The sequence below is a fragment of the Homo sapiens genome, chromosome 12 (genome assembly GCF_000001405.40).
Source record: "Homo sapiens chromosome 12, GRCh38.p14 Primary Assembly".
NCBI lineage: Eukaryota > Metazoa > Chordata > Mammalia > Primates > Hominidae > Homo > Homo sapiens.
This window is the reverse complement of record NC_000012.12, coordinates 131,971,160-131,989,957: the sequence shown is the minus strand read 5'-3', so window position 1 is coordinate 131,989,957 and position 18,798 is coordinate 131,971,160. Positions and strand designations below refer to the sequence as shown.

General features: G+C 45.9%; 1 protein-coding gene across 1 annotated transcript in view, besides 3 other annotated features; it reads right to left on the bottom strand.

Annotated features, from left to right (window-relative positions):
• Window positions 1–18,798, bottom strand: part of EP400 (E1A binding protein p400) — a 130,519-nt gene that overhangs the window by 90,503 nt on the left and 21,218 nt on the right. Inside the window, exons 3-7 of the mRNA NM_015409.5 lie at window positions 10,165–10,264; window positions 8,362–8,469; window positions 7,480–7,865; window positions 3,151–3,444; window positions 2,068–2,253 (exon numbers count right to left, since the gene is read on the bottom strand). Coding sequence (NP_056224.3) covers window positions 2,068–2,253; window positions 3,151–3,444; window positions 7,480–7,865; window positions 8,362–8,469; window positions 10,165–10,264 — 1,074 coding nt within the window. The remainder of the gene's footprint in view (window positions 1–2,067; window positions 2,254–3,150; window positions 3,445–7,479; window positions 7,866–8,361; window positions 8,470–10,164; window positions 10,265–18,798) is intronic.
• Window positions 685–1,334: an enhancer, noted in NCBI's record as "H3K27ac-H3K4me1 hESC enhancer chr12:132473169-132473818 (GRCh37/hg19 assembly coordinates)". NCBI's record gives its function as "activates a minimal SCP1, AML or CMV promoter by ChIP-STARR-seq in naive H9 embryonic stem cells {active_cell/tissue: H9 hESC(naive)}" and the evidence as "EXISTENCE:reporter gene assay evidence [ECO:0000049][PMID:30033119]".
• Window positions 1,985–2,635: an enhancer, noted in NCBI's record as "H3K27ac-H3K4me1 hESC enhancer chr12:132471868-132472518 (GRCh37/hg19 assembly coordinates)". NCBI's record gives its function as "activates a minimal SCP1, AML or CMV promoter by ChIP-STARR-seq in naive H9 embryonic stem cells {active_cell/tissue: H9 hESC(naive)}" and the evidence as "EXISTENCE:reporter gene assay evidence [ECO:0000049][PMID:30033119]".
• Window positions 3,308–3,927: an enhancer, noted in NCBI's record as "H3K4me1 hESC enhancer chr12:132470576-132471195 (GRCh37/hg19 assembly coordinates)". NCBI's record gives its function as "activates a minimal SCP1, AML or CMV promoter by ChIP-STARR-seq in primed H9 embryonic stem cells {active_cell/tissue: H9 hESC(primed)}" and the evidence as "EXISTENCE:reporter gene assay evidence [ECO:0000049][PMID:30033119]".

The window sequence follows — 18,798 nt, the reverse complement described above, 5'->3', positions numbered from 1 at the left end:
AATAAAAGTGCAAGAATTGTATGTTGTACTCTATGTCATGCTGGAAAAAAAAGGATATGTAACTTTTTTTAAATCTTCTCAGACTAAAATTACATACAATTCACTGTCATATACATCCTCGTATGCTCTTAGGGTGGATTAGGAGAAACATGACTATAAGCAAAAACCACCATCAATATTTAGCTTGACTTTTCTAGAAAGTGTTTTTATACTTTTCACCAAATACACATTATTTTCCTCAAAACTAGAATACCACATTGTGCTATAATCTTCTTTTCCCATTTAATAGATGATTAACATCTCTCCATTCAATAAACATGGGTCGGCATCTCATTTCATGAATGCTGCACCAGTTATAGAAATTATTGGGCTGCGATAATTCACATTTTTAAAGCTTTTGCTTTAAATTGTCAAACTGCTTTCCAAAAGTTTAGACACTTCACATACCCACCAACAGAACCTCAAATGGGTGGAGAGAATTAAGATGAGAAAACCTTTGGAGCCCTGAGAGCACAATGGCTGTCACCCCCACGCCCGTTCTAGGGATGGAAATGCACTCAACTACCGCCAGGACTCTGCGCACACGCCGTGTTCCCACTCGGCCTCCAACGGGGCTCACTGTCGTCAACACAGGCCCTGATCGGGGTGGGCTGCTCTGCAGCCTCTCCCTGTCTACCCCAGCGAGAGGCAGGAGGCACGGGGAAGGGCAGGCCTGGCTGCAGATGCATCACTCAGCTGTTGAGAGATGGCCCTGGCCTGTGCCCTGTAGGTGCTGCACTGCTCTTCAGCCAACCCCACCAGCTCCCACTCTAGCCCATCGGCCAGCCCCCACCCATCCAGCCCAGCATCCACATGTCCAGCCTGGCATCTACACGTCTGGCCTCCTGCCCTATCCAGCCTGGTGTCCACCATGTTCAGGACTATCTTCTTTGTGGAAAGGCTGGTTTAAGGAAGAATCTGGGTTTTTCTGGAATGCTTATGAATCTGACTTGAGACCCTTGACCCTCAGAACCCCACGGTTCTCACCCTGTGGTCTCAGCTTCTCTCTGCCTACCCTACATGAAGACAGCAAGGGGGAAAATTCTGGGTACGGAGTGGACAGGGCAAGGGATGGAACACAAGGCCATAGCGTTAAGAGTACAGAAAATATGAACAAAGACCCTAGGGCCCAAGAAACAGAGGCAGCGACACAGTAATGAGGAGGATAAAGAAGGGCCACGGCTGTTCACACAGTGAAAGCACAGCTGCTTCCCACTGAGGCCTGGGGTTTCTAGAAATCTACCACTTGTTCTCACTTTTCTAGTGTTAGCAGTAGGGCCTCCAGAGTCTTCCAAGGACTCTGCGCCTGCTTTGGCAACAGTTAGGAGAAAAATAAATTCTCAGCCAAAATTAAAGAGAAAGCTAGACTAGAAGCCCAGGAGGAAGGGCAGGAGGCCGTGTGGCCAGGCAGGAAAGCCTAGGACAGCCCCTTGCTGTCCCTTGACTGATACCAGGTGCCTTCTAACTCTTAGCCTCTCAGCTCCCTGAACAGCCCCAGCCACCAGCCTGAACCTGTGGCACTGCAGGTATCCTAACTCCAACTGCCAGGCAAAGCCAGGCAACAAAATGAAGCTAAATCCACATCATTGCTTAGTGGGTGAGCACTGAGCACAGGCTTGATCCCAACAACGCATGCTGGGCTCTGAAGACACCACCTCAGAGACTTAATTACACAGCACAGTTATTCTCCAAACAACAGGGAAGTATCCTTCCCAGACTTCACAGGTTAAGGCCTCTAGAGTGAGTCTGCCAGGCACAGTGGTTCACGCCTGCAATCCCAGCACTCCAGGAGGCCGAGGCGAGCAATCACTTGAGCCCAGGATTCAAGACCAGTCTGGGTAATGTGGCAAAAAACACAAAATTAGCTGGACATTCCAGCCTGGACAACAGAGCAAGACCCTGTCTGGGGGAAAAAAAAAAAAAAAAAAAAAAAAAGTGGGTCTGGAGACCTCCCCACCACTTACACCACTGCAAACTCAAGCCCCCACCAACGCACACAGCACAGCAGCTCCACGCATTCCAACCCACCTTCTTCGCAGCAGCCACCTTCCACCTCCTCTCCTGGGCAAAGTCTGTGGCCATCCACTGCATCTCCTCCAGCAGATAGTCCCAGTGGGACTTGGGGCGTGGGGCCTCCTGCAGCTTTGGCAGACGCCTCTGGGACCACAGACCTGCTTTCCTCAGCTCCGCAATGCGCTGATGCACCTGGTTCTCCTGTAGATGATACATGGGGGATGGTGGGGTCGGCATGTGATGAGTGTGTTCCACCAACTCAGACCCCAGAAATTTGAAGCCCTACTATGCAAAAGGCTCAGTCAGGCACTAAGAAAGAGAGAAAGCACAAGGTCCCAGTTTAATATCAAAGGTAAGATTCGAACACAAAGGTCAAAGTGGTTCTAGGAGAGGTCTAGGAGCATGTGACCCTTCCAGGAGCCTTAGAAGAAGCTGGAGCAATAGTCCTGCCCCAGCTCTATAAAACAGACTAAAACTTTAAAACCTCATGTTTCTACCAAAGTGTTTACATGGGAAACCATAGGATGTCTGGAATTTGCTTCTAGATAATCTGGAAAGGAGTGGGATAAATGAAATGAGACTAGCTGCATACTGATCACTGTGATAAAATCAAATAATGGGGAACATGGGGTTTATGACACTCTATTTTGATACACATTTCTTTTAATTCCCCTAATGAAGTTGAACAAAATAAATGCTTAGTCATCCAACCCAAAGTAAGTGCTAAGGGCTGGGCAGTGACTCTCAAACACAGGGCTGCAGACTGGTGGCTGCAGGGACCTCACAGCCTGCAGGGCCCCAGCGCTCAAGCTTGTCCCTCTCCGCCTAACTGCTACACGTGACCTCTCCCACCCTCGTCTACTGCCCATATGAAAGCAGCCCAAGACTGCAGGCTTTATCACAAAAACGCAGACTGCCCCCATGAGTCTGCTTCCAACAGAAAAGGCTAACCCTTGGTTTTCATCTTGTGTCTACTGATTCCCAAGCCATGCTGAATTGACCAGGCATTCGGTTTTACGCCATCACATTCTTGACAATTAAAACTAAATGTGCTTCACCAACTGGAGTACATTTTACAACTTTCTTAAGCATGCTTACCAGAGTTATTTGTTCTGTCAGCGTATCCTGAGAACTGTCTTGGGACGAGGTGGCATTCTGAGCAGGACTCTGTGGTTTGGTGGGGGCAGATGCCACCACCCCTGGGGTCCGGGAAGTGACTGGAGATAGTGCCTTATTGGTGGCTGAGGAAGGTCTATTTACTGGAGAGGATCGAGCAGGGGAGGGTCCTGGGCCGGAGCCACTCACAGGCGCGAGGGACGAGGTAGAAGAGGTGGGCAGAGGCCGTGGGCAGGGCGGGGCAGGGTCCACAGGGAGCCTTGTCGATGCTACCATCTGTAAGGGCAGGGCACAAGTGGAGCAAGGTGAAGAAAAGATGTCGGGGCAGCCCACGGTGCCAAATACCTGAGCGCCCACAGCACCAGAGACGCGCACTGCCAGCACCTTCCGCTCCACGATGCAAGCAGACAAATCACATCGTATCCACAGCCCAACACTAACGTGTCCACAAATAATACATCCTCCCACTTCCACAAAACCAAATAGGAGTTTTCATTATGAACTATCTTTAGGCCATGCCCAGTGGCTCATGCCAGTAATCCCAACACTTTGGGAGGCTGAAGTGGGAGGACTGCTTGAGCCCAGGAGTTTGAGATGAGCCTGGGCTTTGACAAAGAAAGACCCCATCTCTACAAAAAAATTTAAAAATTAGCCAGGTGTGGTGGTGTGCACCTTTGGTCGCAGCTACATGGGAGGCTGAGGTGGGAGGACTGCTTGAGCCTGGGAGGTTGAGACTGCAGTGAGTCATGTTTGTGCCACTGTACTCCAGCCTGGGCAACGAAGCAAGACCCTATCTCAACAAAATATAAAATAAAATAAAATACAAATTCAGTGTGCCTCTCTCATGGCAGACAGGCTAAAAGGGTTAAAAAATCCTCCTCAGGCCAGGCGCAGTGGCTCACGCCTATAATACCAGCACTTTCAGAGGCCGAGGTGGGCGGATCACCTGAGGTCAGGAGTTCAAGACCAGCCTGACCAACATGGAGAAACCTCGTCTCTACTAAAAATACAAAATTAGCCGGGCATGGTGGCACATGCCTATTAATCCCAGCTACTCGGGAGGCTGAAGCAGGAGAATTGCTTAAACCCAAGAGGCGGAGGTTGTGGTGAGCTGAGATTGCGCCATTCTACTCCAGCATGGGGAACAAGAGCAAAACTCCGTCTCAAAAAAAGAAAAGTCCTCCTCTTCGCACCACCTCAACGACAGACTTAAAGTCACAGAGAACTGCTGCGACTCTGTGACTTAAATTCACAGAGAGCAGGGAAGGTGGGCTGAGTGAAGGCTCACACAAGATTTAGCCCGTTCAAAAGCTGAAGGGAGACAGAACCGCTAGAGCACACTCTCTCTGAGCGCCCGTCCCACGACGTGGGTCTGCTTTCTTCACCTCGGCAGCGCCGTCTCCCGGCTGGCCACAGGCGTTTGGAAATGAAGCTTTATTACAGCACAGCCACATCCACTTACGTGCTGTCCGTGAGCGGCTGTGTCTTCACTTCTGCCACAGAAACTGAACAGCTCGCAAAGCTGGAACATTTACTCCCTGGCCCTTGACTGAGAAAGTGTGCCAACCCTGGCTAACCTAGAAGTAACAGGTTCCTACAGACTTTGTAAAGCGCTTCTTTAAAATCATTTTCCAGGCTGGGTGTGGCGGCTCACGCCTGTAATCCCAGCATTTTGGGAGCCCAAGGTGGGTGGATTAGTTGAGGTTAGGAGTTTCAGACCAGCCTGGCCAACATGGCAAAAGCCCATCTCTACTAAAAAGTAAAAAAAAAAAAACAGTTGCCTAAGCATGCATAAGATATTATGTGCATTGTAAAATGATCAGTAAATGATTTCCTCTACTGTTGTTCTTAAGGAGAGAATATAAAGTTATTTAGAGAGCTAAATTGTGAAATAAATCATTTCTCTGCTGGAAAAAAAAAAAACCTAGTAGGGCGTGGTGGCGCATGCCTGTAGTCCCAGCTACTCGGGAGGCTGAGGCAGGAGAATGGTTTGAACCCAGGAGGCAGAGGTTGCAGTGAGCGGAGATCGTGCCACTGCGCTCCACCCTGAGGGACAGAGTGAGACTCTGACTCAAAAAAAAAAAAGATAAAATAAAATAAAACCATTTTCCACAGCTGAGTTTTTCAGTAACACAGGCAGGTAAATTAAATCTAAGAAAAACCACGGAGCTGCTTTAAGTCAGTATGTGGCTCGATGTGAGGAAGTGTTCAAAATAGAATCATTTCCACAAAAACCTAAAGCAAGCAATGTAAGGCCTAGAAGAGCTCAGCTGCCCTGGCATGTGTCGCCTTTCTCAAAGTGGGTGTACAAGGCTTCCCTGCAGACTTGCACAAAAGGCTCCCAACTACAGCCCCCCCAGTTGCTGGCTTTTCTGGCCTCTGGTTTTTTTAATCTATAAAATGGAGATAGTAAAGATTCTACCTCATAAGGTTGTCAGGTAAAGGAAATAAACAATGCCAATAAATCGCTCATCACAGTGCTTGACACCACACCTCACAAGTGGTGAATAAGAGATAGCTATTATTGTTACTATTATTTCATCGTTATATACTTAAGACTTTGCCATAAATCTCAAACATAAAGAACCTGTAGGCCGGGTGCGGTGACTCACGCCTGTAATCCCAGCACTTTGGAAGGCCAAAGCCAGCGGATCACCTGAGGTCAGGAGTTCAAGACCAGCCTAACCCATGGAGAAACCTCGTCTTTACTAAAAACACAAAATTAGCCGGCATGGTGGCAACATGCCTATAATCCCAGCTACTCGGGAGCTGAGGCAGGAGAATCGCTTGAACCCAGGAGGCAGAGGTTGTGGTGAGCCGAGATCGGGCCACTGCACTCCAGCCTGGGTAACAAGAGCGAAACTCCGTCTAAAAAAAAAAAAAGAAAAAGCACTTGTAGCTTGGGCAGCATGGCGAAATCCCATCTCTACAACAATACAAAAATCAGCCAGGTGTAGTGGTGTGCGCCTGTAGTCCCAGCTACTCAGGGGGCAGGGACAGGAGGATCATCTAAGCCCAGGAAGTAGAGGCTGCAGTGAGCAGAGATCGTGTCACTGCATTCCAGCCTGGGTGACAGAGCCAGACCCTGTTTCAAAACAAACAAACAAAAACCCTGAACTTAAAGCCCACCTAGGAAATTCCTTTGTTAGTGAGGGAGAAGGCAAAAGGAAGGGAAGACTCTCTGCAGTGGGCTCCCCACGCCCTGATGTGCATCAAACAGTGGAGAACCAAGGGGGCTGAGAGTCCTCCCCGGCCTCCCTGTCAGTGCCCTGTTGACGGCTGGCACCGAGGCTGTGGCATTTCGCTATTCCTTAGGAACCGAAACCAGTTTACTGTGGACATCCCAAAAACACACTGGGTAAAATTAATCAGTGGAGGAGGAGGGGCATTTTAACTACCTGAAATGTGTATCAAGCTGCATCAGTAACGCCTTACACATGTGTATCAAGCTGGATCAGTAACACCTTACACACATTTGCAGAGCATATAGCATCCCAAAAGCAGCAAAGCAGGCGTCCAGGGAGCACGTCTGGTGGGTGGTGTCCAACATGGTTTTGCACTCACATGGAGCTAGGGTCAAGCCCCGCTCATCACTTCATCGCCATGTAACCTGGGGCCAGCCCCAGAACCTCTGAGTATGTGTCTCCACACTGGTAGAATGGGTCGCTGCCACCTACCTGAGGGTTGCTAGGCAGATCATAAGGGATAACTGACACCATGCCCTTCACACAACATATGGGTGAGTAAGGAGGGACCCCTGGTACTAAGAGTGACAATAATAACAGTTGTCTATTATTATTATTATTTTTTTTTTTTTTTTGAGACAGAGTCTCACTCTGTCACCCAGGCTGGAGTGCAATGGTGTGATCTCAGCTCAGTGCAACCTTCACCTCCCAGGTTCAAGTGATTCTCCTGCCTAAGCCTTTGAAGTAGCTTGGACTACAGGCACTTGCCACCACGCCTGGCTAATTTTTGTATTTTTAGTAGAGACAGGGTTTCGCCATGTTGGCCAGGTTGGTCTCGAACTCCTGAGCTCAGGTAATCCACCCGCCTCAGCCTCCCAAAGGCTGGGATTACAGGCGTGAGTCACCAAACCCAGCCCAGTTCTCTATTACTTTAATAAAGATAATATCATAGAGCCAAATAAAACTGTATTGCAAGTACTGAATTGAGTAATTGTTCTAAATTGGGGGAGCAAGCTGCTAAGAGAAAATACACAAATTACAGTGTGGTGTGACACTCTGTCTAACACACAGGTAGCCAGCAAATCCTGCAAACCATTTTCTTTTTTTCCTCTATCTTTTCTCATACCTGTGGCAGGGAGGAAAGCTGAGAGGCCTGCACCTGCACCTTTCCAGGTGTGGGAACGTGGAGGGCCAGCTGTGCAGGCTGCGAGGGAGGGATGGGGAGTTGGCTGCTGGGCGGTGCAGGGATGGGAACATTGGGCTGCTGAGTCTTCACCGGGATTTGGAGCTGTGTCTGGGCCTCTACCACTTGCGGCTGCTGTGCAAACTGCAGCGCAGAGGAGAGGGCTGCAGTGGGAACACCGGCTGGGGGCAGCCTCCCGGGCAGCTGCGGCAGTGGGGTGTGCAAGCTGGCAGCGTTCTGCACGGGAGGCCCCGTGGAGGGGTCATACTGCTGCTGACTCTGCCTCTGTCCAGCGAGCTGCGCGGCCTGCGGCGTGGGGGGCATTCCTCCTGCAAAATAAGAAAAGTGCCAAAAGCACTGATTCCCAAGTGTGGCAGCTTCTACCAATGAGTCACAAGGAGACACGTCTAACACCCCAGTGCTTGTCCAAGACCCACCACACTCACACGAGAAGTTGGCCACAACCGAGCACACACAAAAGGAAAGAGAGGCGCTTGACCTTTGCAAGTCAGCATCAAGCAAAACAAGCACCAGATCACCACAGGGCACCCCTACAACAGCAGCAATTAGGAAAAACATAGGAGTAAAAATTGTTGAAAGACACTATGACAATGCGACGTGTGGCTCCCATTAGTGTGGCAAGAATATGTCTCCAGGGGCTTTGCATATGATATCGACTGGGACTCAGAGAAGTATCTCAATTTCAGGCACCCCACTGCAAACACGCTACCTCCACTGCCCAAGTCTGAGTCTGGTGCTGGTTTCTGGAACCGCAGTGTGCTGCCTGCTCCTGAGCGGGGAGCTGGCTCTGCTGCTGGGCCTTACCTTGTGCGGTCGGCATTAGTTGCTGGAGAGGAACGCCTGCGTCCGCCCCTGGGTGCTGGAAAACTACCCCTTGGTGACCCACTTCAAGGCGAGGCCTCTTAGACTGCTCTAGAATAATTTTCAAAAAAGGTGCAGTTTGATGTAAAAATAAAACCAGAGAAGTAGTAGAAAAAAACATGTGTGTTTTTATCATCTTGGAAAAGGGAGGCCTTTCTATACATGAACTAAAATCCAGAAGCCATAAAACATAAGGCTGATAAATACAATTTCTCATTAAAATGTTGCCGATATAAGAAAAAGCATCATGAAAAGGCCAAGGACAAGCAACAACCTGAGAGGCAACACTGCAACGTGTGTGACGGGCAGAGGTGGGCTTGCTTAGCACTCAGAAAGCACAGGCACACATGAGGAGCATCACAAGTACACGGACGAGAGCATGGAGAGCGGGCAGTGGAGCAGACTCACAAATGCCCAGCACACAGGGAATGAGGCTGCACAGCGTGCTCAAAACTAAAGAAACCCATATCAGAACAAGGAATGTTTCACCCATCAGATCAATGAGGATTAAATGACTTATACCTAATAAAACGATCAAAATGTGAAAGAACCAGAAATTGTTGATGGCAGTGAAAACTGGCCCTGTCCTTTTGGTGGGCAATTGAGCACCATTATTACTTAACTACATCTGCGCTTTGATCTAGCAATTTCATTTCTAGGCGTTTTTCCTTTAGATATATTGACAGACAGTTGGGCGCGGTGGCTCACGCTTATAATCCCAGCACTTTGGGAGGCTGAGGCAAGAAGACTTGAGCCCAGGAGTTTGAGACCAGCCTGGGCAACATAGTGGGACCACAACTGTACCTAAAATGCAACAATTTTTGCATTTAGCTGGGAGTGGTGGCACGCGCCTGTAGTCCCAGCTACTCAGGAGGCTGAGGCATGAGATTTGCTCAAGCCTGGGAGGTAGAGGCTGCAGTGAGCCATGATGATGCCAGTGCACTCCAGCCCGGGTGAACCAGACCCTACCTCAAAAAATAAGCAGATGGATAGACTGATAAACATGTAGGAAAAAAAAACCATGAGACTACATGTTCAATCCTTAGCTCACTGTAACAGACACAAGGTGGCACTAACAGATGAACACTGACAAGGATCTGACTGATAAAGAACCAACCATCCCCAAGACGGAACAGCATGGAGCACTGAGAGAGGTTATGACCTGGAGAGATGGCCTCTTCAGTTAATATTCTTAGACATAACAACTTATATATGATCGCATCTCAACTTTTTCAAAGTATCACATATGTAACAATGCTTGTGTATGAAGAGAGGAAGGTCTGTGAGAGAGAATATGGGAAACATTAACAGTGGTTACTGCTGTGGCTGGGGAGTGGGCAGGTACCAAGCCAGACATAGACTTAAGTTATACCCTACTGAACTGTTGAAGTCTTTTATATAAAAATGTATTAAGTTTATCATTTGAAAAAATCAGCTTAAAAATATGACAACTTTGGAAAGCAGATGATTTTGTGTTTAATCACACCGTGATGACTCAAGAGCCTACAAATGCATACAGAAAACCAACACGGAATACACCTGCTCAACTGAAAAATTCCTCACTTCAGGACACAGAAAAATTCACGTAAATATTGTTCAGCTGATAATCACTGTAAGACAGGTTAATTTTCAAAGTAGGAAGAAACCAAGTTTAGCAACTGCTCTTCAGAAACTCATGGCAACTGTACCTCGGCAGCCCAAGGAGAGGGGGGCATTCCCGAGGCCACGCTAGCCGTGCCGACGTACCTGCCATACCTGTGGAGGGCATCGCCTGCTGCCTCTTAAACAGGTCCGTCTCTACTGTGCTTCCGGCCCCTGCTACCAGGCTCCCTGCGAGGGCTTGCTGCTGGGAAAAAAGATGAAAAAATGAGATTTTGATCACTGAAGGCCATTACAAGAATAAACTCAAATTATCATAATTATCCCAAACATCGACCTCCTTCCTTTCTAATAACAGGAATGTTATCTACCCCGTGTCTTTAAATATACATGTGTAATGTATATTTATGTATAATAAACAATTTAAAGTTCTAACTTACCTCTGGGGGAAAAAAGACTTGTAAAAGACATATTATTCTGGTTTTAATGGAATTTCAAATCAATGCAAACCTACAGTCCTTGGGAAACAACAAAAGGGCTAATGCTGGGAAACATGAGTTTCAGTTCTGAGACAAATCTCAGCCGACTCATCAGTCACACTGCCCAGCATAACTTCACATCCAAAAACACCGAATAATAAAAAGGTGAAATTGCCTTTCTACTGGAAAATGACACTAAAACCCCAATTAATAACTATCTAATTAATTTAGATCTTTTTTTTTTTTTTTTGAGACGGAGTCTCGCTCTGTCACCCAGGCTGGAGTGTAGTGGCGGGATCTCAGTGCAACCTCTGCCTCCCAGGTTCAAGCCATTCTCCTGCCTCAGCCTCCCGAGTAGCTGGGACTACAGGCGCCTGCCACCACGCCTGGCTAGTTTTTTTGAATTTTTAGTAGAGACGGGGTTTCACCGCATTAGCCAGGATGGTCTTGATCTCCTGACCTCATGATCCGCCTGCCTCGGCCTCCCAAAGTGCTGGGATTACAGGTGTGAGCCACCGCACCCAGCCAACTTAGAGCTTTAAAAGGATATTTTTATAGTTAGCACCCTACATGAGATATAAATATGTGAGATATATAGAGATATAAATAGACAGATGTTATTTAAAATGTTTAAAGTGAAAAAAAGCCATCACCAGGTGTGGTGGCTTATGCCTTAATCCCAACACTTTGGAAGGCTGAGGTGGGAGGATCGCTTGAGGTCAGCAGTTCAAAACCAGCCTGGGCAACACAGCAAGATCCTGTCTCTACAAAAAAATAAAAATTAAAATGTTAGCCAGGCATGGTGACACATGCCTGTAGTCCTAGCTACTCAGGAGTCTTGAGCCCAAGAGTTTGAAGCTGCAGTGATCTAGGACTGTGCCACTGCACTCTGCATTCCAGCCTGGGCAACAAAGTAAGAGACCCCATCTTTAAAAAAAACAAAAAATGAAAGAAGCCAATCTGAAAAGGCGACATGCTACATGATCCTAACTCTGTGATGTCTTGGAAAAGGCAAAACTATAGAGACAAAAAGATGAGTGGTTGCCAGGTGCAAAGCAGAGGGGAGGAGGTGAATAGGTGAGCACGGGACATTTCTAGGGCGGTGAAACTACAGTACTATGCTAATGACATGGCACTGAAGGTTTCACCAAGTGCAACAAATGCACCGTCTGGTGGGGGACACGGATACAAAGGAGGCTGTGCACATGGGCGGGGGAGCAATGGGGTATGTTTAAAAATCTCTTGTTCCTTCCTCTCAATTCTGCTGTGAACCTAAAACTGCTCGTAAAAAATCATGTTTTTTAAAAGTTTACATGGGAAGCTATTGGCATGTTATTTTACAAAGACAGAAACTAGCCAACTCTTGGTTAGCACAGACTTAACCCTAACCCTTTTCCATCTGGTCACCATCCTTGCCATTAAAGTAAATGCTAAGGACTTAATTACTAGTTGCTAAATTATTCCTTAAATCACTCAATTATATTCACTCTACTTAGTGAGACATTTTAAACGCAAAAGTTACAGATACCTAAACAAAGCAACTGTTCAGTGACAGGGAGCTGTTTGAACCAACTGCCACACAAGGGCCACCACACAGCCACCACCAGCCATGCCACAGACTCTGTACTCACACGGGGAAAGGCTTAGGAAGAGTTACTAAAAGGAAAAATCAGCCACAATACAGCATATGTAGCAGGAAGGCACTGCCGTTTACATTTAACCAAGATGGAAAAGGAAAGAAGATGAAAGGGACAGAGGGAATGGACAAAGAGAGGGAGGAAAGAAAGGAAAGAATGTTTTGAAAACAATGGCCTGGCAGTGGTTACCTCTGGGGCAGCATTACAGGTGACATGATTTGTGTGTGTGTGCGTTTCTAAATTTCCCAAATGTTCTATAATGAACATGTATGACCAATACAACCAAAGAAAAGAGTATTTTTTAATTAAAAAAAAAAAAAACTTGATAAAGGGCTCCGTGTCCAGTAATGGCCAAGTACTTCCTATCCGGTCAAACATAATCCAGGTAACAAGGCCGGGCATGGTGGCTCACGCCTGTAATCCCAGCACTTTGGGAGGCCGAGGTGGGTGGATCACAAGGGCAGGAGATCGAGACCATGGTGAAACTCCGTCTCTACTAAAAATACAAAAAAAAAAAAAAATTAGTCAGACGCGGTGACGGGTGCCTGTAGTCCCAGCTACTCGGGAGGCTGAAGCAGGAAAATGGCGTGAACCCGGGAGGCAGAGCTTGCAGTGAGCCGAGACTGCACTACTGCACTCCAACCTGGGTGAAAGAGCGAGACTCCGTCTCAAAAAAACAAAAACAAAAACAAAAACAAAAAACATAATCCAGGTAACCATAAACTCTAGATGAAATACAAAAAAATATGAAAAGGTAGGCCAGTGATACAGGAAGGGAAGTGATATTCGCAAGAAGGGAATAGAACACGGTAAGGTTTCCAGTTTCATGGCATTTGGCATGAGGGCAGCCCCAGTCTGTGCTCTATGGAACGGCTCAAACCTAAAGACACATAGCATCTCACTGGCTTGAACAAGAGGACAAAGAGCAAGAGACAGATGGAAAAGGAGGAGGCCCCACATTCTCTCCCTAACCTCCACCTAAACCATGTACACAAAAACAGAATCCAAGAGAAGGCCCAAGTACTGAACTGAGTTTTCAGGTGCCTCCTGCCACAAAGGAGAAAGAGTATGCAGGTTTTTTGTTGCTGTTTGGCGTTTTTGTTTTTTGTTTTTTTGAGACAGAGTCTCGCTCTGTCGCCCAGGCTGGAGTGCAATGGTACGATCTCGCCTCACTGCAACCTCCACCTCCTGGGTTCAAGCGATTCTCCTGCCTCAGCCTCCTGAGAAGCTGGGACTACAGGTGCGCCACCATGCCCGGCTAATTTTTGTATTTTTAGTAGAGACAGGGTTTCACCATATTGGCCAGGCTGGTCTCAAACTCCTGACCTTGTGATCCACCCGCCTCAGCCTCCCAAAGTGCTGGCATTACAGGCGTGAGCCACCACACCCAGCCAGAGTGTGCATTTTTAATTCAATCAAGTTAAGTGTTAAAGAAAATAAATACGTTTCAGAAGAATATAACAGAACCCAGGGTTTCTACATATCATGCACAATTGTACAAAATCCAATTCAAACTTACTCCAAAATACAAACAAAATTACTCCAAAATACAAACAAAAAACACGAGCCATACTCAGACACCAACCTCAAGATGACCCACGTACTAGAATAAGCAGGCAAGGATATTAAAGTGACCTTAATATGTATGCCCAAGGTCATAAAGAAAAATATACTGCAATAAAAGACAAGAAGAAATCTTGACAAAACAGAAACTATTAAAATAAAGAGCGAAATGGAGATACTAGAAGTGAAAAATACAACATCCGAAATAAAAAAAAATTCATTGGATAGGCGTAACATCAGTGTGGAGATGTGAAAAAATCAGTCGGGGCATGGTGACTCATGCCTATAATCCCAGCACTTTGGGAGGTCAAGGCAAGAGGACTGCTTGAGGTCAGGAGTTCAAAATCAGCCTGGGCAATATAATGAGACCCCATCTCCAAAAAACAAACAAAAAATTTTAAATTGACCAGGCGCAGTGGCTTATGCTGTATTTCCAGCCATTTGGGAACCTAAGGTACACAGATCACTTGAGGTCAGGAGTTCAAGACCAGCCTGACCAACGTGGCGAAAATTCATCTCTACAAAAATACAAAAATTAGCTAGGTATGGTGGCACAGGCCTGTACTCCCAGCTACTTGGGAAGCTGGGATGGGAGGATCACTTCAGCCCTGGAGGCTGAGGTTGCAGTGAGCCGAAAGAACGCCACCACACTCCAGCCTGGGTGACAGAGTGAGACCCTATCTCAAAAAAAGAAAAAGAAAAAAAAATTTAAAAATCAGTGAGCCTGAAAAAAGATTATTGAGAGAGAAGAACCAAGTGAAGGACCTGACTTCAAGACACGCCCCAAGACTCCAGGAACCAGGACAGTGCAGTGCAGCGCTGGCGTAAGGACCAACACACAGATAAGAAGAACTGAGCTGCGCACCAAGAATCAGACCCACGCTCACACAGTGTTCCAAAGCCTCTAAGGCAATCCAATGGGGAACAGACAGTCTTTTCAACAAACGGTGCTAGAAAACTGGATATCTACATGAACACACGGATAAACTGGACTTCATTAAAATGAGAAACTTCTGCTCAAGAAGCACTGACAGGGAGGACTGTGCGCCCTGTTGACTGCTCCCCGGCTGTGGCTGACACTCAGCCTGCTTCCCAGAGGACTCAGGACACACGGGTCCTGCTGCCCCTGGGTTCTGCAGAAGACACAGGAACTCCTCCAGGCACGGCACACTCAGCCTTGGTTTTCAGAATTATTTTTAGTTTTACCTTATTCTGTCTCCATGAAGGTATTATTGGTAAAGATACTCTGGTCTTTTTTTTTTTTTTTTTTTTTTGAGATGGAGTCTCTCTGTCGCCCAGGATGGAGTACAGTGGCACAAGCCCTGCTCAATGCAACCTCTGCCTCCCGGGTTCAAGCAATTCTCCTGACTCAGCCTCCCGAGTAGCTGGAATTACAGGCGCCTGCCACCAAGCCCGGCTAATTTTTTGTATTTTTAAGTACAGATGGGGTTTCACTATGTTGACCAGGCTGGTTTTGAATTCCTGACCTCGTGATCCGCCCGCCTCGGCCTCCCAAAGTGCTGGGATTACAGAAGATACTCTTGTCTTTAAAATGCAACCTTGATTTTGATCAAAAACCATTATGACAATTCTTTAAAAAAGAGAATTTCTCACAAAGAAAAAACACTCTGAAGGGAATTTAATTCTGGGTGCCCATTTAGGAGAGACAATACCAAAACAGAGCTTATCCATGGAAAACACAGCAGAAGAAAGCTCACAGAACATCTGCCACCTAAAAGGACAGATTGATGGTATTCTGAAGGTAGAAATTAAGACCAATAGTAGTTGGCAGCTACCAAAAGGAAAATTTCTGCCCTATTTAAATAAACAAAGAAATAAACTATGAAGCCAGGTGTAGTGGCTCATGCCTGTAATTCCAGCATTTTGGGAGGCCGAGGCGGGAGGACTGCTTGAGCCCAAGAGTTCAAGACCAGCCCAGGCAACAAAGTGAGACCTCCATTTCTACAAAAAAATTAAAAAACTGGCCAGGCGCGGTGGCTCACGCCTGTAATCCCAGCACTTTGGGAGGCTGAGGTAGGCGGATTACCTGAGGTCAGGAGTTCGAGACCATGCTGGCCAACGTGGTGAAACCCCATCTCTACTAAAAATACAAAAATTAGCTGGGCATGGTGGCACACGCCTGTAGTCCCAGCTACTCGGGAGGCTGAGGTGGGAGAATCGCTTCAACCCAGGAGGCAGAGGTTGTGGTGAGCTGAGATCGTGTTCAGCCTGGCAACGGAGCAAGACTCTGTCTCAAAAAAAAAAAAAAAAAATACAAACACATACGTAAAGTAACGTAAGAAACAACAGTTGGGTTAGGATCACAAAACCATAAATAATTACTCATTTTCTCTAACATCATAATCACTGAAAAAAATGCTCCAATCAGGAGGTTTTTATAAGACATAAATAACCATAATAATATTAGTAGTATTTTTTATACTATAGCTGCACTCAACACAACCACAAAACCTTCTGGAAACAAAGAGAAATACACGCAATGCTGAGCACTCTGGATTTATTTCTGGAGTTTAACTGGCATAGATTAGTTTATTATAAAAATCCTACAATTGGCTGCAAATAATAAAACTCATCCTGAAACTCTGTCTTATTTTTTTTGAGACAGAGTCTTGCTCCGCTGCCCAGGCTGGAGTGCAGCGGCACAATCTTGGCTCACTGTAGCCTCTGCCTCCTGGGTTCAAGTGATTCTCCTGCCTCAGCCTCTCAAGTAGCTGGGAGTACGGGAACACGCCACCACACCCGGCAAATTTTTGGTATTTTTGGTAGAGATGGGGTTTTGCCATGTTGGCCAGGCTGGTCTCAAACTCCTGGCCTCAAGTGATCTGCCCACCGTAGCCTCCCAAAGTTTAAACTCTTTTTAGAATGGTTAACAGGGCTTGCAAAGCCATAATAAAACTGGGGCCACAGTCTAGCAGCACTTTTAGCTAAACACAAAGTGAGTATACGGTGGGCACCACGAAGAGACTTACGCTCTCCTGATTCACTAGTGTCACTCCTAAGAGTTTTTCTAAATAGAACAGACATAACCTAAAACTAGAAAGTGGTTAGATGAATTACAGGTCCTGAAAATAATGAAGCAGTAACAGCAGTTAAAAACAGAATTATTAGAAGTCAATAAAATAATTATTTGTTAAATGAAATAACAAAACAAAAAAGTATAAATTCATTTGTTTCAACTGGTATATATGCAACATAACATTTAAAAAATCAGTCAGGCATGGTGGCTCATGCCTGTAATCCCAGCACTTTGGGAGGCCAAGGCAGGTGGATCACTTGAGGTCAGGAGTTCGAGACCAGCCTGGCCGACATGGTAAAATCCCGCCTCTACTAAAAATACAAAAATTAGCTGGGTGTGGTGGTACACGCCTGTAATCTTAGCTATTCAGGAAGCTGAGACAGGAGAATCGTTTGAGCCTGGGAGGCAGAGGCTGTAGTGAGTCGAGATCGCGCCACTGCACTCCAGCCTGGACAACAGAGCGAGACTCCGTCACAAAAAAAAAAAAAAAAAAAAAAAAGGTTGTGTTAGGGTGATAAAATTATGGCGAATTATTCATTTTCTCTAACAGGAAAATGATGAAAAATTTCTGCTTAGAACGGTTCTTTTTATCTTTTTATAAATAAATGCGTGCCTGTCTGTATTTTATATGCAACACCCCTGCACTCAGTATCACCTAAAAATCTTTTCGAAACAGAAATTAGTACATATGTAATAACAAATTCTGAATTTATTTCTAGAGTTTCACTGGTCAAAATAAAAATTACACAATTGGCTATTAGTAATAAAACTCGGCCAGGTGCGGTGGCTCACGCCTGTAATCCCAGCACTTTGGGAGGCCGAGGAGGGCGGATCACGAGGTCAGGAGATCGAGACCATCCTGGCTAACATGGTGAAGCCCCGTCTCTACTAAAAATAACAAAAAATTCGCCGGGCGTGGTCGCAGGGGCCTGTAGTCTCAGCTACTCCGGAGGCTGAGGCAGGAGAATGGCGTGAACCCAGGAGGCGGAGCTTGCGGTGAACCGAGATCGCGCCACTGCACTCCAGCCTGGGCGACAGAGCGAGACTCTGTTTAAAAAAAAAAAAAGAAAAAGAAAAAGAAAAAGAAAGTAATAAAACTCACGCTGAATTTTTTCCTAAAGCAATGGATGTTTCCATTTTAACTCTTTTCTATTTTCTTAGACATCCACTGTCACCTGCCGCAAGTCTGTAACTCAAAATGGAGGCTCCTTGGTTTTCCTCTTTCCGTCTTACAAGGAATTTTTAATTAGGAAATACATCACACATACAAAAGAAATTATAAAATATATGTAAGACTTCCAAAGCACAGTAAAATTAATCATAGAATTTAAACAGTAAGATATCTTTCACTAAACAATCCATTCAACTTGTTTGGAATTTTCATAATACGATGTGGAGGAGGAAAGTGGAAAAATACATACATACAATTTAAAGCAGTAATAATAAAGCGATCCCTACATACTCATCACATGCCTTAAGAAATAAACATTTTGGCTCTTGAGATTATACTGGAAGACAAAAAAAAAAAAAATTTTACCCATACCTTAAAAACTCCATACACCCGCTTCTACACTTACTACCCAAAATGTCTGTTAAACATTTCCCTAAAGAACCCTTGTGCACTGTTGGTGAGAATGTAAACTATTACAGCCATTATGGAAATCAGTATGAAGGTTCCTCAAAAAATTAAAAATAGAATGAACATATGATCCAGCAACCCCACTTCTGGGTGCACAGCCAAAGGAAAGGAAATCCGTGTCTTGAAGAGGTATCTGCACTCCTGTGTTCACTGCAGCACTGTTCACAACAGCCAAGCTATGAAAACAACCTAAGTGCCCAGCAACAGATGAACAGATAATATAGTATATACACATGGAATACTATTTGGTAACAAAAAGCAAGGAAATCCTGCCATTTACAACAACATGAATGAACCTAGAGGGCATAATGCTAACTGAAATAAGCCAGAGAAAGATAAATGCTGTACAGTATCACTTACACGTGGAATCTTTTTTTTTTAAGAGACAGGGTATTGCTCTACAGCCCAGCCTGGAGTGTAGTGGCA